At 40.1% G+C, this 25,462-nt stretch overlaps 1 protein-coding gene and 1 long non-coding RNA gene across 5 annotated transcripts in view, besides 1 other annotated feature; one reads left to right on the forward strand and one right to left on the reverse strand.

The window, feature by feature from the left end:
• The window catches only part of DDX52 (DExD-box helicase 52), a 33,708-nt gene extending 18,164 nt beyond the window's left edge, over positions 1-15,544 (reverse strand). Inside the window, exons 1-7 of one of the 3 annotated variants that reach the window (NM_001291476.2) lie at positions 15,432-15,544; positions 14,208-14,406; positions 11,552-11,666; positions 5,386-5,516; positions 4,211-4,396; positions 2,128-2,271; positions 659-770 (exon numbers count right to left, since the gene is read on the reverse strand). In NM_001291476.2, coding sequence (NP_001278405.1) covers positions 659-770; positions 2,128-2,271; positions 4,211-4,396; positions 5,386-5,478 — 535 coding nt within the window. In that variant the 5' untranslated portion in view covers positions 5,479-5,516; positions 11,552-11,666; positions 14,208-14,406; positions 15,432-15,544. Of the gene's footprint in view, positions 1-658; positions 771-1,946; positions 2,272-4,210; positions 4,397-5,385; positions 5,517-11,551; positions 11,667-14,207; positions 14,407-15,431 lie in introns of those variants that run through there. The other 2 variants (NM_007010.5, XM_011524233.4) reach the window with 2 other exon arrangements.
• Positions 13,091-13,591: an enhancer, noted in NCBI's record as "H3K4me1 hESC enhancer chr17:36001021-36001522 (GRCh37/hg19 assembly coordinates)". NCBI's record gives its function as "activates a minimal SCP1, AML or CMV promoter by ChIP-STARR-seq in naive H9 embryonic stem cells {active_cell/tissue: H9 hESC(naive)}" and the evidence as "EXISTENCE:reporter gene assay evidence [ECO:0000049][PMID:30033119]".
• On the forward strand, positions 15,036-23,918 carry LOC105371756 (uncharacterized). 2 transcript variants are annotated; one of them, NR_188617.1, is made up of 2 exons: positions 15,036-15,634; positions 22,653-23,918. It is a non-coding gene; the product is annotated as an uncharacterized LOC105371756 (long non-coding RNA). The 2 variants fall into 2 exon arrangements; NR_188618.1 differs by lacking the exon at positions 15,036-15,634 and adding an exon at positions 21,207-21,493.
• The last annotated feature ends 1,544 nt before the right edge of the window (positions 23,919-25,462 follow it).

Below are 25,462 nucleotides of genomic sequence, written 5' to 3' on the forward strand. Positions count from 1 at the left end.
GACTACAGGCATGCACCACCATGCCTGGCTAATTTTTTTTTATTTAAAAAATTTCTTTTAGAGATGGAGTCTCGCTATGTTGCCAAGGCTGGTCCCAAACTCCTGGCCTCAAGCAATCCTCCCACCTCAGCTTCTCCATAGCTATAGGTATGGAGAAGATTACAGGTGTGAGCCACTGCACCCAGCTATGCATGCCATTCCTGTCTGCCAGAGTATTTCCATGGCAGATTAAAAATCAATGGTATAAATCAGAATTTTTTAGCCTCAGCACTGTTACCACTTTGGGCCACTAAGTGTTCGTTGCAGGGGACTGTCCTGTGCACCGCAGAATGTTTAACAACATCCTTGGCTATAGGCTAGTAACTACAGGCTAGTAGCACTTCTCCCCAGTTGTGACAACTACAAATGTCTCCAAATTATTGCCAAATGTCCCTGTGGTGAAAGGTGGGGGGCAAGATTGTCTCTATTTGAGAACTACTGGTATATATTTATGTATAACTTCTCAGTAGAGTGAGAAGGGGATCGCTTTAGTTCTTCTAAAATTCAAATTTTATACATACATGACTATACTTTAACAACACTTACATAGCAATTAGGATATTTATAATTTCCAGATTCCTTACATGCTCTATCTACATCCCATGTATGAATTCCTTACCAAACTTTTTAGATGATTTAGGTCCAAATTTCTTGGCTGCCACTGCTGCTTTGTGGATCATGTGTATTCTGAATCCTGTTCCCTCAGAAATTTTTATTAACTCTCTGTGAATCTAAAAAAAAAAAGATTAAAAACATTAGCTGCTAACATACTTGGACAAGATGTATACTCTTTTACATGATTAATGAAATAAATCTATTACCAACCCATGAATATCTGAAATTAAACTCATAACAATCTGTAGATTAACCTGAAATCTCAGCATTTTGAAACTTCAATGCCTAATAAGATTCAATAATTTCTTCAGGTGGAATAAACTAGTTCCCAGAGATAAAACTAACCTATTTTGTATTGTTTTCAGAATACAGTACTACTGGCCGGGTGTGGGGGCTCACACCTGTAATCCCAGCGCTTTGGGAGGCCAAGGTGGGTGGATCACTTGAGGCCAGGAGTTCCAGACCAGCCTGGCCAACGTGGTAAAACCCCATCTCTACTAAAAACACAAAAACAATTAGCCAGGTGTGATGGTGCGCACCTGTAATCTCAGTTACTTGGGAGGCTGAGGCAGGAGAATCACTTGAACCTGGGAGGCAGAGGTTGCAGTGAGCCGAGATGGCGCCGCTGCACTCCAGCCTGGTCCACAGAGCATGACTGTCCCAAGAAAAAATACACACACACACACACACACACACACACACACACACACACACACACACATAGTACTATTACAAGACTATTTCATACTTGATATGTGTTTCATATTAAGCACATTGGGAGGGTAGAACAGATCACTGTATACTTTTCCCTTCTAAAAAAAACAAACTGAGATGAGTCAGGCATAATGACTCATGCCTGTAAGCCCTGTACTTTGGCAGGCCAAGGTGGGAGGATCACTTGAACCCAGGAGTTCAAGACCAGCCTGGGTAACATAGGGAGACCTTGTTTCTACAAAAAGAAAAAAATTAACCAGGCGCAGTGGCATGTGCCTGTAGTCCCAGTTACTCAAGAGGCTGAAGAGGGAGATCTCTTGAGGCCAGGAGTTCGAGGTTGCAGTAAGCCATGATCACACCACTGCATGCCAGCCTGGGTAACAGAGTAAGAATCTGTGGCTAAAAAACAAACAAATAAATAAATAAAAACCAAAACTAAGATGAGTATTCATTTTTTTTAGATGAGAAAAATAAATGTCCAAGCAGGGCTATATTTAATTAGCCTTTCAACTTCAAAGACCTTAAAGCATTTACCAAAGAAGTGTAAATATTAAAATCACTGTGTTTTAGAAACTTACAGAAAGACTTAAAAGACTTGCCCACATGGAGTAAGATCCGGAGCACTGTGCTGTGTAGAGGATACTTGACCATGACAGAAGACGTGGGCCTTGCTTTTTAAGATCTTTTTATTACCTTCAAATAAGAAAGATCACTGAAGTAAAAACCAATCGCATACTCTTCAAAAGCTACAAGTCATACCTGGCTGGCAAGTTCTCGTGTTGGTGATATAATCAGGGCTCTGAAGCCTTTATTTGCGGGTTGTTTCAGCTGCATTAAAATAGGAATGCTAAAAGCTAATGTTTTTCCAGATCCAGTTGGAGCAGAAGCCAGAAGTTCCCGACCCTAAAAACATAGGGTATATTAAATACTACAAAGAAAGTACATAAATTTTTCAGAGCCTGGTCAAATAACGCTACCAGCCATAGAAAAAAACAAATACAATTTTACATAATGAATCTAATCTTTCAAGTCATATCTGCTTTCCTAACATCATCCATCCATGCCACCATCACCCCAACAAAGTTTCTGAGCATTGCCCTTAAATTCCCTTTGAATGAGTGTAAAGAATACGGGTAACTAAAACCCAAAGATAATCCATAACCTAAGTTATATCCATTATTTCAATTTTTCTTTTCCACTAAACTATTGTCAAAATAAAATTATAAAACCAACTTTTTGTCCTGGTATCTGTATTGTTCAATCACTAGGGAAGGTTTTATTGAACAACAAAATGGCTGAAGAAATAAAAAATGGCAATGACCTGAGGGCAGAGTAATTTACAGGAGACAATTTTCAAAAACTCACTGTGTTTTTTTTTTTTTTTTTTTTGACACAGAGTCTCACTCTGTCACCCAGGCTGGAGTGCAGTGGCGAGATCTCGGCTCACTGCAACCTCCGCCTCCCGGGTTCAAGTGGTTCTTCTGCCTTGGCCTCCCGAGTAGCTGGGATTACAGGCACACGCCACCATGCCCAGCTAGTTTTTGTATTTTTAGTAGAGACAGGGTTTCACCATATTGGCCAGGCTGGTCTTGAACTCCTGACCTCGTTATCTGCCCGCCTCGGTCTCCCAAAGTGCTGGGATTAGAGGCGTGAGCCACCGCACCTGGCCCACTGTGATTTTTTAAGCTTTAAGCTAAAGCCATGACAGAAACAATCTTAAACAAAAATTAAAAGCAAATTTACTATAACATAAGTCAACAGCATCATTTAAATGTATGAATGTATTCTCATTTCATCTCTCAAAGAAAATGAAAAGGACTAGTATAGAGATGAAAAGGTATCTTATATCCTTTGGAAACCAGAACTGAAGGCCATCTCGGTTACATGGGGAAAAAACCCAACTCTTATTGCTACAGAAACAAACCTCAGAAAAACTTAACGTCCGAAAACCTAAGTTAATCCATACCTCTATCAACAAGTGACTGGATAACAAATTGTGGTATATTCATACAACATAATACTACTTGGTAACAAACTATTGCTCTATGTAATACAGAAGAATCTCAAAGCATTACGCAAAGTGAAAGAAACCAGAAATAAAAGATTAATGTGTGATTCCACTCATATAAAACTCTAGAAGAGGCAAAAGGAATATACAGCAGTAGAAATCAGAATAGCAGTTGCCTCTGAGCAGGGGCAGGGTGAGGACTGAATGGAAAGGGCACAAGAAAATTGTCTGGGGTAATACATATGTTCTCTATCTTCACTGGAATAGTGGTTACACAGGGCATGCATTGCTGAAACTCACTAAACTGGGCACTTAAAAATCTATGCATTTTATTGTATGTAAAGTATACTTTAATAATAAAAAGTATTCGGAAAAATAAGTCAGTTTATGTACAAGAACTTTAGAAAGCATTTGTATTTCTGGAGTAGTTCCTGGGCATTATAAACTAAATAATGAATGTATGAATGAATAGAACATAATCCCCATTCTCCAAGGGGTTACACACTAGTAAAATGAAAAAGATAAATATGATTGGTGCGAATACAAAGTAGTTTAAAATGTAAAATAAATGTTGCAAGGAAAAGAACACACCAAATACCATGGAAGAACTGCAGTGTGGGGGAAAGGGTACTAGAAAAGGAAGAAGATCACATCTAGATGGAGTGATCAAGACAACTTTTATGGAGGCACAGGCATTTGATGAACCTTAAAAGGAAGTGAAGGATTTTAACAGGGGAGATAAGGTGGAAAGAAAGAGTTCAAGAAGAGAGGGAAGAGAATGAGCAAACACACAGAGGAAGGAATGTTACAGGCATTCTAGATCTTCATACTCACATGCAGCATAACTGGGATGGCTTGCATTTGGATTGGCGTAGGCATTTGGAAACCTGCATCTAGAATGTTCTGAAGTAGTCGAGAATTGATTTTATATTCCTGGTCAAGTTGCTGAAATGTAGCAATTGGGTCAGGAAGATCGGTTCCTTGGACGTGAATTTTGTGTTTATTCCGCAAGAAGTTTATCTGAAAAGTGAAGTAAAGAGGCCACCATGGATATGGCCAAATAAATACATTCTCAGATGTTATAAAGCAACATTAACAGTTTCTGGGATAACCTTTAGCAGCATATGAAACTTTTTGGTTAAATCCAAGAATCAAAACATCACAGATATTAGGTACATTTCATGCCCTTTCATAGAAAACCTTCATAAAATGTCTATGCTTTCTTCATATTAATGTGTTATTGTCATAGTCATAACTTCTAACCTTAAATAAACTTCTTAGAAGGCAGGCATTGAACCCATCTACTATTTTAATATGGTGGTTAACATACAAGTATCATTGCTTTTTGATGATTTACCCTAAAACTCTGATTATTAAAACTGAGTGCCAAAAAGTGGAGTCTAGTAGTGTTGATTTGGTTTGTTTCCCCATTCTCTGGACCAGAGACAGCCAAATTCTGGTTTCTGGGTTACTGAAGCATTGCCATAGTAATCCCTGAAGTGAGCTGAATACACCTCTCCATCAGGAATACGGCAGGTGTACAGCAGACACAAAAAAGGTATATTTGTTGTTTCTTCCATATCCTACTCCTCTTATTCCCAAGTCATAAAATACCTTTCTTAAGAATTCTAACCCTCTAATCTGTGTCAGAGGAAATCCTTCTAAACCGGTGAGCTCAACAGAGAAGAAAGGGAGCCAAATTTTGTTTGTTTATCGAAAGCAGTTACGAAATTTTAAAAATTTAATTCTAAACATACTATCAATCTTGAAACTTGAGCAGGTCAAGAATTTTATATATGTATCAGCAATTTAAACTTTAAAATGTTCACCCACAGCACAAATGCCTACTTTGCTTTAAGTTTTCATTAAAGTAAAATCTAAATGAATGTAATTAACCTTCTATCTTAACAAAACTATATTCACATTAACAACAGAATAACCCAAATCCAGCGAATAAGTCACTAGGTCAGAAAATATATATACTTTTGGCCCCAAAATATTTTTCTAACCTTTTCTTTTCTGAGATTCTCCAACTTTCCGGAAGTTAGTTTACTTTCTCTCTGAACTTTTTTGTCTTCAATCTTTGCTTCTACAGATGACATCCACTGTATAGTAGCACCTTCTTCTTGGGAAGCAATTTCTAAAATATATTTTTAAAAAGTAAAAGATTTTAACAGTCTAGGCAACATAGTGAGGACCCGTCTCTTCAAAAAAAAATTAAAAATTAGTCAAGGGTGGGTGGTGGTGCAAGCCTGTAGTCCCAGCTACTTAGGAGGCTGAGTGGGGAGGATCATTTGAGCCTGGGAGGTTGAGGCTGCAGACAGCTGTGATCATGCCACTGCATTCCAGCCTGGGTAACAGAGAAAAACCTTGTCTCAAAAAAAAAAAAAAAGAAAAAAGGTTTTAATCTTGGATGTATGTGTAGCAAGAAAGCCATACCTTCACACTAAAAAAGGAAAAAGTACAGCTGATCCAACTAGATAAGAGAAAGTAATAGGATGTATAAAAATGGAAATGAAAAGGCAAGTTCTGTGTTGGTATGATCAGAGTTCTGAAGCTTACTATCTTCCCTTTGTTGGCTGTTTCAGCAGTGTACTTAGTATACTTGAAAACAACAGGGGATTAATTGAAAAGCAACTTAAACAATGATAAATTTCTTTCCTTTTTTTTTTTTTTTTTTTGTTTGAGACAGAGTCTTGCTCTGTCGCCCAGGCTGAAGTGCAGTGGTGCGATCTCGGCTCACTGCAACTGCTGCCTCCCTGGTTCAAGAAATTCTCTGCCTCAGCCTCCCAAGTAGCTGGGATTACAGGAATCCGCCACCATGCCCGGCTAATTTTGTTTTGTATTTTTAGTAGAGACGAGGTTTCACCATCTTGGCCAGGCTGGTCTCAAACACCTGACCTCAAGTGATCCGCCCGCCTCGGCCTCTCACAGTGCTGGGATTACAGGCGTGAGCCACCGTGCCCAGCCAAATGAGAAATTTCAATAAGGCAGCCACGTTCTCTATATGTAAACAACCAACAACTAAAAAATAAATATAATGAAAGATCTCACTTAAAATAGCAATGAACGGCCAGGTGCGGTGGCTCATGCCTGTAATCCCAGCACTTTGGGAGGCCAAGGTGGGTGGATCACCTGAGGTCAGGAGTTTAAGACCAGCCTGGACAACATGATGAAACCCTGTCCCTACAAAAATACACAAATTAGCCAGGCATGATGGCAGGTGCCTGTAATCCTAGTTACTCAGGAGGCTGAGGCAGGAGAATCACCTGAAGCCAGGAGGTGGGGGTTGCAGTGAGCCAAGATTGTGCCACTGCACTCCAGCCTCGGCAACAGAGCAAGACTCTGTCTCTAAATAAATAAATAGCAATGAACATAACACAATACTTTGAACTACTCAGTATTATAAAGATAGCCTTTCTCCCTCAATCTATGAAGAACACTAGCCAATTAAAAGTAATGGCAGAATTGTTTTGGTGACTAGATCAGCTGACTTAACAGTTTGTATGGGAGAATAAATATGTAAGACTAACCTAAATTTTTTTTTTTTTTTGAGATGGAGTCTTGCTCTGTCACCCAGGCTGGAGTGCAGTGGCATGATCTTGGCTCACTGCAACCTCTGTCTCCCAGGTGATTATCAGCCTCCCGAGTAGCTGGGACTACAGAGGCATGCCACCATGTCCAGCTAATTTTTGTATTTTTAGTAGAGACGGGGTTTCACCACGTTGGCCAGGCTGGTCTCAAACTCCTGACCTCGTGATCCGCCCGCCTCAGCCTCCCAAAGTTTTGGGATTACAGGTGTGAGCCACCGCGCCTGGCCTAACCTAAAAACATTTTAAGTTTAACAAGCAAAGACTAGTTCTACAAAGCAAAGACTAGTTCTAATTTCTAAATTAGTTCTAAAACTAGCAAAGACTAGTTCTAATTTCTTAATTTTTTCAACTTCACTGAGGCATAAATATATACAATAATCTGCATATATTTAAAGTATCTAATTTGCTGAGTTTTGACATATCTACACACCCAAAAAACTATCACCACATTCAAGGTTATTTCTATCACTTCTCCAGATTTCCTCATGACACCTTATAATCCATCACTCCATGCATAGGCAACCACCAATCTAATTTCTGCCACTATAGACTAGTTTGCCTTTTCTGGAATTTTATATAAACGGAATCATGTCATATGTACTAATTTTTGTCTGGCTTCTTTCACTCAAGATAGTTGTTTTGAAATTCACCTATGTTGCACCATGTATCAACAACTTACCGTTTTATTACTAGGTAGTATTCCATTGTAATGGATGTACAGTTCATCATTCACCTGATGAGGGACATTTGGGTCATTTCCAGCTTTTGGCTATAAGCAATGTTGCTATGAAAATTTGTGTACAAGTCTTCCTGAAGATGTATATTTTCCTGTCTCTTAGGTAAATATTCCAAGTGGAATAGCTGGGTAATATGGTAAATATATGTTTAACTTAAAAAAAAAGTCCCAAACTATTTTCCAAAGTGGTTGTACCATTTTACCATCAACACTGTGAGAGCTTGTTTCTGTACATCCTTGCCCATACTTGGTATGGTCACTCTTTTTTATTTTTAGCCATTCTAATGGGTATGTAGTAGTACTGTATTGTGGTTTTAATTTGCCTGATGGCTACTGATGTTGAGTATCTTTTATGTGCTTATCACCATGTGTATTATCTTCTTTAGTGAGTAGATACAAGTCCTTTGATATACATTTTGCAAATATTTTCCCATCTGTGGCTTGCCTTTTCATTTTCTTAATGTTATCTTTTGAAGAATGAAAATTTTTAGTTTCGATAAGTCCAATATATCAATTTTTTCTTTTTAAAGAATTTTGTTGTTGTTGTGCTAAGGAACCTTGACATATCTCAAGGCCACAAAGATTTTTTTCCTGTTTTCTTCTGGAACTTTTATAGTTTTAAAACTTCAGTCTGAGTCATTTGAAGTTAATTTTTGCTTACAATATAAAGTTAGGTTTGATGTTCACTTTTTTCCCCATGGATCCAGTCCGTTTGTCGAAAAGACTTTCTTTTCCCCGCTGAATTACCTTATTACCTCTGTTGAGAACTAATTGACCATATATGCATGGGTTTGTGGACTAGCTGTTCTGTTTCACTGATCTATATATAAGGGGGTCTTCAAAAAGTTCATGGAAAATCCGTATTATGAAGAAACTATGCAAAAATTTCAAAATTTTTTGCACCAAAATAAACTCATACCAACTTGTTACAATACGGGTGAACTAGATCTAGTCTGAGACACTAAGAAGGATAAGACAGCAGTTTGAAAACAGCAACATGAATTCTGCTTAAAACTGAAGCAAGAACAAACTCCAAATTTACAGTGAAGCTTCGGTAGAAGAATAGTGAAATCACTGATGCTTTATGAAAAGTTTATGGGGACAAAGAAATCACCTGTTTACAAATGGATAACTTGTTTTAAGAAGGAACAAGATAATATTGAAGATGGAAGTCTGTAGCAGCAGACCACCCGCATCAATTTATAAGGAAAAAATTCATCTTGTTCATGCCCTAATTGAAGAGGACTGTTGATTAACAGCAGAAACAATAGCCAACACCACAGACATCTGAGTGTATATAACCAATTACAAGCTCATGCTTGTAATCCCAAATATATATATATGGTTTGGCTTACACCACATATATATTTTTTTCAAGATAGGGTTTTGTTCTGTCAGCCAGGCTAGAGTATACAGGCATGATCACAGCTCACTGTAACCTCACACTCTTGGGCTAAAGCAATCCTCCTGTCTCAGCCTCCCAAGTAGCTGGGACTACAGACATGTGCTACCACGTGCAGCTAATTTTTTTTTTTCTTTTTGGAGTCTTACTGTGTCACCCAGGCTGGAGTGCAGTGGTGTGATCTCGGCTTCGGCTCACTGCAACCTCCGCCTCCCAGGTTCAAGTGATTCTCCTGCCTTAGCCTCCCAGGTAGGTGAGATTACAGGCATGCGCCACCACGTCCGGCTAATTTTGTATTTTTAGTAGAGACGGGGTTTCACCATGTTGGCCAGGCTGGTTTCGAACTCCTAACCTCAGGTGATCCACCCACCTCAGCCTCCCAAAGTACTGGGATTATAGGCATGAGCCACTGCTCCTGGCCCTATTTTTTGTATAGATGGAGTCTTGCTATGTTGCCCAAGCTGGTCTCAAAATTCCTGGCCTCAACTGATCCTCCTACCTCAGCTTCCCAAAGCACTGGCATTATAGGTGAGCCACTGCTCCTGGCCTCCCTACCAATTCTTTGTTTTGTTGTTTGTTTTTGAGACCGAGTTTCACTCTTGTTGCCCAGGCTGGAGTGCAATGGCGTGATCTCGGCTCACTGCAACCTCTGCCTCCCAGGTTCAAGCGATTCTCCTGCCTCAGCCTCCCAGGTAGCTGAGATTATAGGCATGCGCCACCACGCCCGGCTAATTTTGTATTTTTAGTAGAGACGGGATTTCACCATGTTGGCCAGGCTGGTTTCGAACTCCTAACCTCAGGTGATCCACCCACCTCGGCATCCCAAAGTGCTGGGATTACAAGCATGAGCCACCACGCCCAGCCTTCTTCCCACCAATTCTTAATGAAAAATTAGTTGAGCAAATTTTCCATATGATGGGTGCCAAAACCACTGCTCCCAAATCAGCTGCAGACAAGAGCAGAGATTTCAAAAGAAATTTTAAACAAGTGGAATCAAGGTCCTAAAGCATTTCTTTGAAGAACTGTAACAGAAGATGAAACATGGTTTTACCAGTTTGATCATAAAGACAAAGCACAATTAAACCAATGGCTACCAAGAGGTGGAAGTGGTCCAGTCAAAGCAAAAGTTGACCAGTCAAGAGCAAAGGCAACAGCAACAGGTTTTTTGGATGCTCAAGGCACTTCACTTGTTGACTTTCTGGAAGGCCAAAGAGTAGTATCTGCTTATTATGAGAGTGTCTGAAGAAAGTTAGCCAAAGCTTTAGTAGAAATTTCTACAAAAAAAATTCTGCTAGAATTCTAATTGGGATTGCAATGATTCTGTAGATCACTGTAGGGAGAAAACATTGAGTTGCCTAAAATATTGGTATGCCTCTCCACTCTACTGGATTTTATAACATATAAGGCCATAGTATTTAAAACAAGCTAGTATTGGTGTACAAATACAGAAACAGAATAGAAGAGGTCCAGAGACAGACTTGAATGTATATGGAAAATAAGTATACAATTAAAGTTGCGTTAAAGTCCAATAGAGAAAACACGGATTATCAACATATGGTATTAAGACAATTAGTCAACATAAGATAAAACACCAACATATGGTATTAAGACAATTATGTTATTAAGACAATTATTCAGACATCTGAAAAAAATTTTAGTTCCCTATTCACTCCTTATACCAAATAAAATTTCACAGGGTCAAAGATTTTAATATAACAAATTGAAACTACAAATAAGAAAACATGGAAGTTGTTTTTTTTCTTTTTTTTTTTTTTTTTGAGACAGAGTCTTGCTCTGTCACCCAGGCTGGAATGCAGAGGCATGATCTCAGCTCACTGCAACCTCCACCTCCTGGGTTCAAGCGATTTTCCTGCCTCAGCCTCCCAAATAGCTGGGATTACAGGCGTGCACCACCATATCTGGCTAATTTTTTTATATTTTTAGTAGAGACGGAGTTTCACCATGTTGGCCAGGCTGGTCTCAAACTCCCGACCTCAAGTGGTCAGCCCGCCTCCGCCTCCCAAAGTGTTGGGATTACAGAAGTGAGCCACTGCACCCAGCCTAGAATTTTAAAAAAACGTAATGCGCAGAAGGCCAAAAAGTAAATAAATAAGACAAGTGACATATGACAATCTGGAAACATATTTGTAAACATAATATGGCAGACATAGAGCTAATTTCCTCAATATATGAGGTTTAATAAATTAAGAAGAAACAGAAGAACGTAATATGATAAGGGAACAATGTAATACAATAAGGGTACAACGTACACGAAGAGACAAATTTACAAAAAGAGAAAAGTCTCATACCTTGCTGGAAGGCATCGCAAAGTAGAATAACTTTAAAAAAATTTTGTTCCCTTTATGAGACAGTTGGTACTAAATGACCCAAATCATTACTAATTCACAAGCTATTCAATTTTCCAGTTAAAAATAGATACATGCCTGGCTGGGCGTGGTGGCTCACATCTGTAATCCCAGCACTTTGGGAGCCCAAGGTGGGTGAATCACGAGGTCAGGAGATCGAGACCATACTGGCTAACATGGTGAAACCCTGTCTCTAATAAAAATACAAAAACAAAATTAGCTGGGCGTGGTGTCGGGCACCTGTAGTCCCAGCTACTCGGGAGGCTGAGGCAGCAGAATGGCGTGAACCCAGGAGGCAGAGCTTGCAGTGTGCCAAGATCGCGCCACTGCACTCCAGCCCCAGCCACAGAGTGAGACTCAGTCTCAAAAAAAAAAAAAAAATTGATACATGCCTACACATTTATCATAGATCTACGGCCTAAATACATTTGTTGCCACAATGGTTACAGTACATAGCTGTATATTTCTGGTGGCCCAAAATTTGAATCCTTTTCCTAAGTTTGTGGCGTGTCTTTCTTATTGGTAAAGGTTTTATCAAACTTCCTTGCAGCCAGGGAAGAATGACTTTTACTGCAGCACTTAACAGCAAAAGCATGCAAACAATGTACTAAATGCCCACACAGTAACATGTCAAATTGATCATGGGGCATCCCTACAATGTATGATGGGCTACTATGCTGTGTTACAATGAACAAGGCAAAGTACTTCCTACTGATGCAGTGTTTCTGGTGGATACATCTATTTGTTAACTCTGCAATTCCACTTCTAAGAATTTATGGGACAGATATACTCACATATACATGCAAAGATAAGTAGAATGACACTGCAAAACTACAACAGCAAAAATGTGAAAACAAACTATAATTATCCATCACACAGGAACTTGTTAAATCAATTATGCAATACACACAATGGGATACAATGCTGTGTTAAAATGAACAAGGCAATGTACTTCCTACTGATTCCAAACAACCTCCAAGATACATTGTTTTTAAAAAAGGGGAAGGTAGTAGCAGAGGTTCCCAACAGAGTGTATATAAAATAATCAAAGTATATAAACAAAGTATGAGGAGTATTTGTTTTTTTTTGAGTCAGGCATAAATACATAGGAATAGTGTCCCCAGAAAAATACAAAAGAAATTGATTAACAGTAGCTGCGTGTGGAGAAACAGGGGACTGGAGAGAAACAGTAGGAAGGAACTTTACTTTTCATCATTGTATAACTCAAGTGTTTACCAAAAAAAGGTAAATGACTAGGAAACTTAATATTATAGATTAAAAAAATATAAACAGCCCTAGAGTACAGTACAAGAAAAAAAAAAAAAAAAAAGGCCAGGCGCGGTGGCTCACACCTTTAATCCCAGCACTTTGGGAGGTCGAGGCGGGCAGATCACGAGGTCAGGAGTTCAAGACCAGCATGACCAACATGGAGAAACCCCGTCTCTACTAAAAAATACAAAAATTAGCCAGGCGTGGTGGGGCACACCTGTCCCAGCTACTCAGGAGCCTGAGGCAGAAGAATCACTTGAACCTGGGAGGCAGAGGTTGCAGTGAGCGGAAAACATGCCATTGCACTCCAGCCTGGGCAACAGAGCGAGACTCTGTCTCAAAAGCAAACAAACAAACAACAAAAAAACAAAAACCTCTGTCAAAATGGGCAAAGAGTAAGAAGAAACAATTCACAAAAGGTGAAATATTAATGTCCAGTAAAGCATACAAAAATATGCTTGACCAGCCAGGTGTGGTGGCTCACGCCTGTAATCCCAGCACTTTAGGAGGCGGAGGCGGAGGCGGAGGAGGGTGGATCACAAGGTCAGGAGATCGAGACCATCCTGGCTAACACGATGAAACCTGGTCTCTACTAAAAATACAAAAAATTAGCCAGGTGTGGTGGCAGGCACCTGTAGTCCCAGGTACTTGGGAGGCTGAGGCAGGAGAATGACGTGAACCCAGGAGGCGGAGCTTGCAGTGAGCCGAGATTGCACCACTGCACCACAGACTGGGCAACAAAGCGAGACTCATCTCAAAAAAAAAAAAATGCTCGACCTCACCAGTTATCAGTAAAATATAAAATTGTTTCAGGCAGGGCGCGGTGGTTCAGGCCTGTAATCCCGGCACTTTGGGGGGCCAAAGCGGGCGGATCACGAGGTCAAGTGATCCAGGCCATCGTGGCCAACATGGTGAAACCCCATCTCTACTAAAAATACAAAAATTAGCTAGGCGTGGTGACACGCACCTGTAGTCCCAGCTACTCAGGAGGCTGAGGCAGGAGAATTGCTTGAACCCAGGAGGCAGAGGTTGCAGTGAGCCGAGATCGCGCCACTGCACTCCAGCCTGGAGACAGAGTGAGACTCTGTCTCAAAAAAAAAAAGTTTCATTCATTAGCTTGGCAAAAAAATTAACACCAATAATATTCAGCACTGACAAGGACTTGGGAAGTCACTTTGTAGTATTTTTCAGAGAAAGGGTACATACCCTTTCACCATATGATGCTACTTTTCGGATGGTATTCTGCAGAAATAACAGTACCTGTACAAAAGGATTTATGTATAAATATCTTTACTTAAAATTACCTTTGCTGTAACAATATTTCTAATGACAAATACCTGGAAACAACCTGAGTGCCATCAGCTGACAAATGACCTTATTGTCTGACTTGTAGCCATAAGCCTGTATTATTTTTATAACTGAAAAAAATTAAAGAGAAAAAACATGACAGAAATCAAACACTAACCTGAAGTCATCGTCTTCCTTTTTTTCTTGCTCTGCTCCCTCTTCCTTTCAGTTAGGCTCTCTTCTTTTTTCTCTCCATTTTGGGGCTTCTGATGTGTTTGTGATGCTCCACACACACCTGGGACAGACTTCTTGTTTCCAAAAAAGTCCAGTCCCTGAAGCACCTCCGAAGAATCAAAGTCATATTTCCTTTTTCCTATCTAAAACCCAAAAAATGTAAAATGAAACCTACTGACAGAATACCATTGCTTTCATTCAAGCAAGACTGTTCAATGACTCCTCATCTTTTCTACCCTTTCACCAAGTATCTGTCGAGCTAACAGGTGTCTGGACAAATGGAATCTGAAGAGACCTTCTCTGACCTCATAATAGTAACAAATTAATATTAGCAATGAACACATATATGCTTACTAAATGTCAAGCAGATTTCTAAGCATGTTTATACATATTAAATTGCTTCACATTTACAACTCTATAAGGTAAATAGCAGTATTACGAATGAGAAAACCAAGGCATTCGGAAATTAAGTAACTTGAGGTAGGTCTAAAAATGAGTAACTGGCAGACTTAGCATTTAGACCCAGATAATCTGGCTCCAGAGTTCATACTCACCAGTTAGAGAAAGAAGAAACACATGTCACACGCATATACACATCCAAACAACAAAGTAGACATTCAAGATTTTCCAGAATTGGGCCCCAATTGACCTCCCCCGATGTATCACTCACTACTTCTCTAGGTAAGAGCCCCCATTTCTTAATCGCTCTTCTCATTGGTTACTTAAGCCATGGGGTTGAAGCAATAAAAAGAATCACGCCCAGTACAACTATACGCATGCCAAGCCAAACTTGGGGAGACTATAGTAAGAGAATCTGTTTTCTCCATCTTTGGTTGTTTCTGTTTTCGAAATTCCTTTCCTCTAGGTTCGGAGAAAAAGTTCCTTTTGAAAGGAGGATTCCAACTTTGCTTTGAATAAGAGGGAGGAAAGAGGGTTTCCGTGCCAGGCCCAACTAGGTCTACAACAGGATAGTTAAAGAGCTTATTCAAAAGGCTTGAACCGAGCAGCCGTGCAGGCAAGCCGAACACAAAAGGAAGCAAAATACCCCAAGGGTGGCGAGAGCCAGGCCACGGGTGTCCAAGTGCGCCGGCCTCCCCCAGCAGCGGGTTCATTCCCGGGCTCCTGCTCCTTCTCAGTTACTCGGCCCTCGGTCCCTTGGGCACAGTACCTGGAATCGAGCTGCGTCTGCCGAGAAGCGTCTCGTGTCGAATTTGGCCCCCGCGCCGAGCCGGCGAAAGAGATCGTGGACGTCCATCTTTACCCAGAAAGCGCCACAGTTCTACGGCGCCTGCGCAGACTACTTCCCAGGCCCCGGGCAGCGTCGGAAGAGGGCGTGAGCATAATTGGCTCCTGTAGGCGGAGCCTGGCTGGGTGAGAAACGAGGCTATTTTATTATCGTGTACTCCGTCATTATTTATCTTTTTTTTTTTTTTTTGAAACAAGGTCTCTCTCTGTCGCCCAGGCTGGAGCGCAGTGGCGCAATCGCAGCCTCGAACTCCTGGGCTCAAGTGATCCTCCCATCTCGGTCTCCCAAACTGCTGGGACTACAGGCGTGTGTAAATTCTTTTAAAAAATATTTATCAGTATCCTCTTATGTTGGGCACTGTTCTAGACTTTGAGGGATACTATAGTAAACAACATCTTAAGATTCCTCTTCTTACGAAGCTTACATTTTAGTAGGGACAACAGATATTGTTAACAAATAAATAAGCAAAATCTCTGTAAAGTAATAAGTGCTATAAAACAAAAAGGTGTAATTGATAGAGAAAATGATGAGGGAGCTGACTTAGTGAAATTCACTCTGTTGAAGTGAAAACTTGAGCTAAGAGGAAGCAACCTGTCCAAGATCTGGGAACAGCATTCCAGATAGGGGAAACACGTGGCTGAAGGGAAAAAAATTGGAACCTTGAGGGAATAGAAAGAATGCCGGTGCGACTAGAGCCAAGTTGCAGTCTGATAGAGTAGTACAGATAAGGTTGGAGGGACAAACAGAAGCCAGATCTCACAGAATCTTGTAACAAGGTCATAGTAAGGAATTTGGACTTCCACCTTGGGAAACTATTTGAAAATTTTTATGGAGAGAAGAACATGATTTAGTTTATCACATTTAATTTTTTATATTTATTACATCTGTACGAAATTATTTACTGCTTATTGCCTCTCCCTCTTCTGGAATGTAAGTCCCTGAGCACAGGGATATACTTTGCTTCGTTATGTATCCCCAGTTTCTGTGCACTTTGGTGAATGAATGCGTGGATGTTTCATAAAGGATTACACTGGCTATTTGGAGAATGGACCATAGAAAAGCTAAGAGTGGAAACAGGTTAGTCAAAGTAGAATGATGATCATGGCTTGTCTAGGTTGGTATCTGTGCTGAGAGAGATAAATGGATTAGATCTGGCATGTATTTTGGAGGTAGAGCTAAACGTACCTGACGGATTTTATGCAGAGGTGAGAGAAAGGGAGGAATCAAAGATCACTCCTAGTTTTTTGGCTGAGTAGATGGCATGCCATTTACTGAGCTAAGAAAGCCTGAGAGAAGAAGGGCTTTCTGGTACAAGTGAGATACGGAGGATGGAATCAATTGTTATGTTTTGGACGTGTTAAGATGCCTACCTAGTTGACTTTAAGTGGAGACATCCAAGTAGGTAGTTGGTTCTGAATCTGAAGCTCAGGAACAAAAATTAGGGCTAGAGAAATTAATTTGGAAGTCATCAACATATAAATGATACAAAGGAGTTGTACCATATAAGCATTTAACTTATAAAAATTCAGTTATATGTATTTGACCAAAGAGAATGAAACATACTTGAAATTGTATGGGTGAGTCCTTTACAATCAAGGAAAGCAGGTGTGAGGTGAGCATGTGATGGGGGAGGTGAATCTGCGGTTTCTCAGATGAATTCAGCCCCTTACTCCCTATTACAGTGGGTCGGGGGGTGGTCTTCCTGTCCCAAGTGTGTCTACTCTTTAAAAATAGGAACTTCCCAAGTACTTCATCTGTTGTTCAATAAAAATAATTTATCTTCAGCCAGGCGCAGTGGCTTATACCTGTAATCCTAGCACTTTGGGAGGCCAAGGTGGGCAGATTACTTCAGCTCAGAAGTTTGAAACCAGCCGGGGCAACATGGCGGAACTCCATCTCTACAAAAAATTAAAACATTAGCTGGGTGTAGTGGCACACACCTATAGTCCCAGCCACTTGGGAGGCTGAGGCAGGAAGATTGCTTGAGCTTGGGAGGTTGAAGCTGCAGTGACTTGTAACGGCACCACTGCACTCCAACCTGGGTGACAGAGTGAGACCTTGTCTCAAAAATAAATAAAATTAATCTATTTCAACATAAGAGGAAAAACTCAATATTAGTGTGTTGATCTTCAGTTTGGCACATAAATATGGCCATAGCCATATATAAAATTAATATGTATGAAATGGCAACTACCATACTTTGTGGATGACTTAGGGAATTTAAAAAAAAATTCAACTTTATGAGATTTTTTTTTTCTTTATGAGCTGATTTAGAACCTAATCCCTATGTAAGTGGTAACAAACCCATCTCCAAAAGCATGAGCATGAATGTGATCACTTAGAGAAAATGTGTGAATGGAGAAGAGAAGGGGACCCAGGACTGACCCTATGGTACTCTAATGCTTGGAGATGAGGTGGAGGAGGAGACACCTGTAAAACAAGAGTCTGAGAAGAAGCAAGTGAAGTAGAAAGCAAGCAGTGAGGTAGGAAGACCAGGAATTTGGTGTCACCAAAGCCAGACAGAAGTTTTAAGAAGGTAGTGATCAGCTATTTCAAAGGCTGTTGAGAGGCTGAAGACAGAAAAGATCACTGCATTTGGCAACGTGGAGGTCACTAGAGCCCCTGATAATGTCAGTTTCAGGGACATTGGTGAATAGAGATGATTGGTGAAGGTGGTGAAATGGAGATGGATGAAACCACTCTTCCAAAGATTTAGCTGAGCAGGATAGCAGAGAAGTGGGGTGGTAGCTATAGCCAGATGTGGATTCAAAGGAGGGTTTTGCTTTTGGTTTTTGATGTTTTTAAATATGAGTGCTAGGAGATGTTTGTAAATTATATGGGATGACCCAGTGGAAAGGTATAAATTGTTGCTGCAACAGAGAAGGGAGAATTATGAGATGGGGGTGGGATGAAATTTTGTCAGGGTGTGTTGGAGGGCTGAGAAGAGAAGTGGTGTGAAATAATATTCTCTAACAGTGGGAAAATGAACTTACTGAAGAAAGGCGGTAATAATTCTGGGCAATAAATGCCCATTTGAGGTTCAGGGCAATTAATGTAAAAGGAGACAAATTAGCATGATTCAGCCACTTAAATAAGGGTGTGAAGTGTATAGTGTTAGATTTGGCCAGGGTTAAACTTTTTCCAGGTTAATATCATGGAAGGTTATGGCAGAGTTCTGTCCTCCCCACTCCAACAAGAAAAGCACCTGAGATTGATAGTTCAATAGAAGTTTAGCCACCTAGGACCGAAGAAGGAAGAGGAAGCCACTAGGAATAATACTCTGTGTTATAGTAATAACTCAACTTGCTGCTTTCCGATCAGAGGAAAGAAGAATTATATTGAGTGTTGAATATGTACTATATTATTTACCTTCATAAGCATGGACTTGGAGTTAAATAGGGCTGAGTTTAAATTCTCCCAGCCTCTTCACCTATTAGCTGTGATTTGTGATTTGGTCACATTAATCTTTCTGGGACTAATTTCTTTGTTTGTAAAATGAGGATCATGATAGCTACTTTGGAATCGTTCTGAAGATTAAGCTAGGCTCATAGGCAGTGGTGTGTAGTGGAAGGAGTGTAGGTTTGGGGCATCAGAAATACTTAATGTTTGAGTCCAATTGTGTCATTTAGTAATTTGATAATCTTAAATGAGTTATTTCACTGGTCTGTGCCTCAGTTTCCTTGTTGGTAAAATAGTGATTATAGGATTATAATATCTACCTTGAGGTTAGGAGTAGCATAACTTTTCACCACACAGGGCTCAAAATGGTTGAGATGGGTCAGAATACTAGATATGTATAAAATCCTTATATATATATATATAGATAGATAGATATATAGATATATAGATATATATATTCTGTAGTTATTGTATAAAGCATTTGGAACAAAATCTCACACATAGTAGGTTCTTAAGCAATAGTAGTTCTTTCCCATCTTTCAGTTCTTCCTTCTAGAGCAATAGTTCTTGACCCTAACCACACAATAGAATCTTCTGAAGAACTTATGAAACAAGTGACCAAGTGCAGTGGCTCACACCTATAATCCCAGCACTTTGGGAGGCCAAGGCAGGAGGATTGCTTCAGGCCAGGAATTCAAGACCAGCCTGGGCAACATAGGGAGACCCCATTTCTACCAAACAATTTTTAAAAAATTAGCCAAGTGTGGTGGTGTACCCGTAGTCCCAGCTACTAGGGAGGCTGAGCTGGGAAGATCAATTGAGCCTGGGAGGTCGAGGTTGCAATGAGCCATGGTCACACCACTAGACTCCAGCCTGGGCAACAGAGCAAGACCCTGCCTCAAAACAAACAAACAAAAGAAAACTGATTCCCACCCCCAGAAATTCTGGTTTAATTGTTCTATACTGGTTCCCTAGCCTGTAATTTTTGAAAGCTTCTCAAGTGATTCTAATTGTAGTCAACATTAAGAATCCACCTGCTGGAATTATATTTCTGAAGCCCAAATGTGGACCATGTTGCTTCTCTGCTTAAAAACCTCTCTTGATTCCCCATTGTCTGCTGAATGTAGTCTGAACTATAACTTGTATGTCAGTCCCTAAGCAGTGGGTCTCAACATTTTATCTGCTTCAGCATTCTCAAGAAATATGACTCCCTGCCATAAACAGCTTCAGCTTGGGTTCAACTCTCAGTCCTATCACTTAACCAGCTGTGTGGTTACGTATCCTCTCTAAGCTTTAGTTTTCTCACCTCATTTCAGCTTTGCTTCCAACTCAGAAACTTTGTACTTATTTTTTTTTTCTTCTTGGAATGTCCTCTGTTCCTTTCCTCCATGGATAACTCCTTATATTCTTCAATACTCAGTTTACATGTCCTCTCCTGAGTGAAACTTACCCTGAATGTCCCCTCCTTGACATAGTCCATCTTTCTTCGAGTTCTCATGCCACTTCATAAGTACCTCTATTTTAGCTCTTTTCCTATAGCATTGAAATGATATTTCCATGTATGTCCACAGACTTTGAGCTTTTTGAGGGCTGTTCCTACATCTCATTTATCTTCATATTGTTTGCTTCTCATGGAGTCTGTTTCACAGTAAGTGGTCAGTAATCTTGTCCAATTAATGAAGTGAAATGAAATAGACAAAGATCCCTGAAACTGCCAACCTCAATGAATTTTGGAATGGACCTTATGTTTTTTGCTTGGTGCTTTGTGATAAATTTTAGATGAATGAATGAAAGAAGACAAATAGAAACTGTTAGACTTAGACCATTTCATACCCTCACAATGTCCAGCTGACTCATTAAAGGACCATTTCCTCCTGGGGAAAAAACGAAACAAAACAACTTAAAAGCATTGTCAACAAAAGTGGTGAGGAAACTGAATCATGGTTTTGTATAACTGGAATTTCTCTAAAAACCAGTACGGTCTGACTGGTAGACACACATGGTTTCTCAGCTGTAGCAAGTGAGAACACAAAGTCTGTATAACACTGCAGTGGAAAAGCTATTTGGGATAACTTGTTGTGAATAGAGTGATCACTCTATGTCCTAAGAGTATGTTTTTGAAAACTTTTTCTCCACTCCTTGTTTATCATTCAACAAACTTGGTGGTGGTTGTTTTTACAGTGTTTCTGGCATGGACTAGGGCTTAGGGATCCAAAAATGAACTAGACACAGTCCTTGGTCTCAAGTAGCTTTGAGTTTGCAAGGGACAGAGAACTGTTTGCAAACAGAGCAAGGAAATTCTCTAGGCACTGCAGTATAAGTGTAGGAAGTGAGGGAGTAAGGGTGGCAGGATGGAGTGGGCTTTGTGGAAAGTTAGAAAAGACTTTATAGAGAAGACAAAGCTGGCATAGCCTTAACAAATAAAGTGTTGACCAATTAGAAAACACAGGTAAAAGTATTTAAGTAGAGAGGAGAGCAGCGCAACAAATGTAAAGAGGGATGAAACACGCTGTTGTGTTTGGGGAACTACTAGTGGCTCAACAAAGCTGGAAGTGGATGCTGCAGCAAGAATTGGAGCTGGACAGGTAGGTAGGGACCAGCTTGTGACGGGCCTTTTGTATATACTGAGGACTTTGAACCTGATATTGTAGGCACTGAGAGCCATTAGAGGATGTTAAGCCACTGATATAAAGTTTTTAATTTAATATTTATTTATTTAGAGACAGGGTCTCACCCTGTCATCCAGGCTGCAGTGCAGTGGTGCAATCGTAGCTCACTGCAGCCTTGCCCTCCCCAGGCTCAGGTGATCCTCCCACCTCAGCCTCCCTAGTAGCTGGGACTACAGGCATGCACCACCATGCCCAGCTAATTTTTACATTTTTTGTAGGGATGGGGTTTCGCCATGTTGCCTAGGCTGGTCTTGAACTCCTGGGCTCAAGCAATCCACCTGCCTCGGCCTCCCAACGTGCTGGGATGACAGGCATGAGCCACTGTGCCTGGCAGTTTTTAATTTTAAAACATCACTTTAGCAGCAACACAGAAGAGAGGCAAGTTGGAGTCAGGGAGACCAGGACAATATTGAAATAGCAGTCTAGTGAGGAAAGAAGGCAGTGGCTGTAGGAAGGAAGAGGAGAAAGGAGCGGATCTAAAGGACATTAAGGAGGTAAAGTGACTGGATGTGGGAGGATAGCAGGAGAGGGAGAAACTTAAAATAACTCCCGGGTCTCAAACTTAGGTGACTGAGTAGGGGTGAGCCTTTTCACGGAAAGGGAGAATACTGAAGGGCTAGGTTTGTGTGAGGACTATATATTCATAGTAAGTTTAATTCTGAATACGTTGAGTTTGAGATTTTTGTGGGACATTTGAATGAAGTTTCTAATGGTTATTTGAAAGTAGGAATTATTATTTCTTTGCAACGGGAGCTAGGAACTTTTGAACTGTAACTTCAGGATCTTAATTTAAAAGTGAGTTGAGGAGAGGGTGATTGGCTATGGATAACATCCGGAAGCCATTCCCACAGTGAGACAAAAACCTTGCTTTCCCCGAGGCTGAGTTTCCAGCTTCAAATTCTCAAGATTTACCAATAGTCTAGTACTTTAGAAATCCAAATCAAGTACTCAAGAAATCCAAATTCTTACAGTTTTTTTTTTTTTTTTTTTTTTTTTTGCCACCAATAGTCAACAGAGTGTACTTTTAGGCTACAATGCAATGTAAGTGTAACTACTCAAATATTCTTTTAATTAGGACAGAATTGAAGTAAATAGCGCAAGGACCAATGCTGACCTCACGGTGGCACTCCAGTCTTCGAATAAAGGGCTCTCTGGACTCATCTTATTGACCTCCAAATGGACAGTCCACATTGAAGTGAAGAGTTGACATGAACTCTGGGCCCATAGACCCCACAGTTTAATTTCCTGAAGAGAATCTACCAAGGACTTTGCTTTTCTGTTTTTAAATCAGCTCTGACGTAAGGCTGGATCAATAGAATAGGTGTCAAGTATGCCCGAATGTCTCCATCCGTAAAAAATTTCATCAGGGTTCAAAAGTAACCAAAATAATTTCACCATTATTATTTATTAATGGATACCATTTATTGAATGCCTGCTATGTGCCACATTGGGTTCAGGGTACTTTTCATATTATATGAGCTCATTGAACTCACAATAGCTCTATGAGGTTGATACTACAGTGTTCTCATTTTTCTGAGAAGAAACTAGGGCTCAGAGACATTAAGTAGCTTGCCTCTCACATCATATAGGTAGTAAGTGGCCATACTTGGTTTTGAACCCAATCTGTGTGATCCCCAAACTTGCGCTCTTTAAACAAGGCTGCATTGCCTCTTATTATTGATGCCAAGATAAAAGCAGCAATTAATGAAACTTGGTTTTCTTCAGGTATAGACTGTTTGGCATGAGGTGGTTTAAATAATATCATATTTAAGGAGATCTATTGCGGGCCCCTATTGTGAATTTGTGTCCTCTTCATGAAACTCTTTGCCACATATGAGAAACAGGATATTTACATAGTCACAAAGTGTGTCCCACAAGGTATTGATTAGTTACGAAGAGAAAAATTGAAAATTTACAGTGGAGCAACCTGGAAGATACCATGTGAATGAAATGGTCACAGTATAAATGGTAACATAAAAGTGGTAAAATATCAATATGTACACCATGGTCATATTCTTTTGCTTTTATTGTGGAAGAGACAAAGGGACAAGGGAGGATTTGCTGACACTGGTCAGGAGTGGAGTAGAGGACTAATTCCTATCTTTGATCTCCATCTGTGAAAGCCCAGATCGCACAAAGATTTCCAAATGAAATATTTACATTTCTAAGGGGTAGAGAATTATTCGTGAATCCTAGACAATATACAAGGGAAGGCTCCCAAAAGAAAGATACAAATAATAAAATTCTAGAATAATGTTATAGTACTGATTGTAGGCTATGGGGAGTGGGAGTTGGTTGTCCTACTAATAAAATGCTTAATCAAGAGTGTATGATTTGTAAATCATATTTGTTAAGCATTTTTTAATGCCTTACAGACTTCAAAGCCCTAAAACTTTTCTGCATCTCTAGGGGTTAATATCAGCATTTTGTATATTCTCAGCTTGAGATAATTACCAATCTGCCTATTTTTTAAAAGAACTGTCTTTTAGTGAGAAGGATAAGATGTCTGGAGAAGCTTTTTGTTCAACATGTCAGTATTTGCATGATTTACAGTGTAATTAACCAGGCCCTGTAGCACAGGCAGACCGGCTCCCTTCACTATTTATCATGTTTCCAGCAACTTCAGATCATCACCTCTGCTGGGAGGAAATACGTCCTTCTTAGAGATGTGAAAATATATCCCCAACCATTCCCACAGGCAGAATGTGATCTATCCTTATGTATCTATTATTTCTCATATCTAAGGGCTCTTCCCCCTACCCCATTATTTTTATACAGCATTACTCTCAGAACTAAACTAGTTAAATAAATATAAGGCCAGGCATGGTACCTCACACCTGTTATCCCAGCACTTGACGAGAGTCTGAGGCGGGTGGATCACTTTGAGCTCAGGAGTTTGAGACCAGCCTGGGCAAGATGACAAAACCCTGTCTCTACTAAAAATCCAAAAATTAGCCAGGTGTTTTGACGCGTGCCTGTAATCCCAGCTACTCGGGAGGCTGAGGCAGGAGAATCGCTTGACCCCGGGAGGTGGGGATTGCAGTGAGCTGAGATTGTGCCACTGCACTCCAGCCTGGGTGACACAGCAACACTCCATCTCAAAAATAAAAAATAATAAATAAATAAATACAAAATCTAATACTACTTAGGAATAATTTTGTTATTCAATTGCTTATAGTCACCAGCACATATTCGTTAAGGTATAATTGTGCTGTGTAAAAGACAAAGTCTGGTGACTCAAAATCTAAAACAAAACACCTATATAGACAAATAATATTATTACAAAACTACTTTAAATCTCTATATTAAAACATTATAGGTTTCAAAAAAACTTCAAATGTGTTTACTTTTGGCCCAGTAATCATTTTAAGAATTTATCCTGAATATACACCTACGGCAATATGAAAATACATACGCACAAGTTTATGTATTGCAGCATTGTTTGTATTTGGGAAATAATTGAGAAAATCTAAATTCCCATATGGTTCTCTAGCAAGCAGACTCAGAAAAAAATAGTCTCCTGTGGAGGAGAGTGGTTGAATAAACTACAGTACAAGTACATAATAGAGTACTATAAATCTATAAAAAAGAATGAGGGGCCAGGTGCAGTGGCTCACGCCTGTAATCCCAGCACTGTGGAAGGCTGAGGCAGGTGGATCACCTGAGGTCAGGAGTTCGAGACCAGCCTGGTTAACATGGTGAAACCTCATCTCTACTAAAAATACAAAAATTAGCTGGGCATGGTGGTGCATGCCTGTAATCCCAGCTACTTGGGAGGCTGAGGCAGGAGAATTGCTTGAACCCAGGAGGCAGAGGTTGCATAGCTGAGATTGCACCACTGCACTCCAACCTGGGCGACAGAGCAAGACTCTGTCTCAAAAAAAA

Source organism: Homo sapiens, chromosome 17 (assembly GCF_000001405.40).
Source record: "Homo sapiens chromosome 17, GRCh38.p14 Primary Assembly".
Classification (NCBI taxonomy): Eukaryota; Metazoa; Chordata; class Mammalia; order Primates; family Hominidae; genus Homo; species Homo sapiens.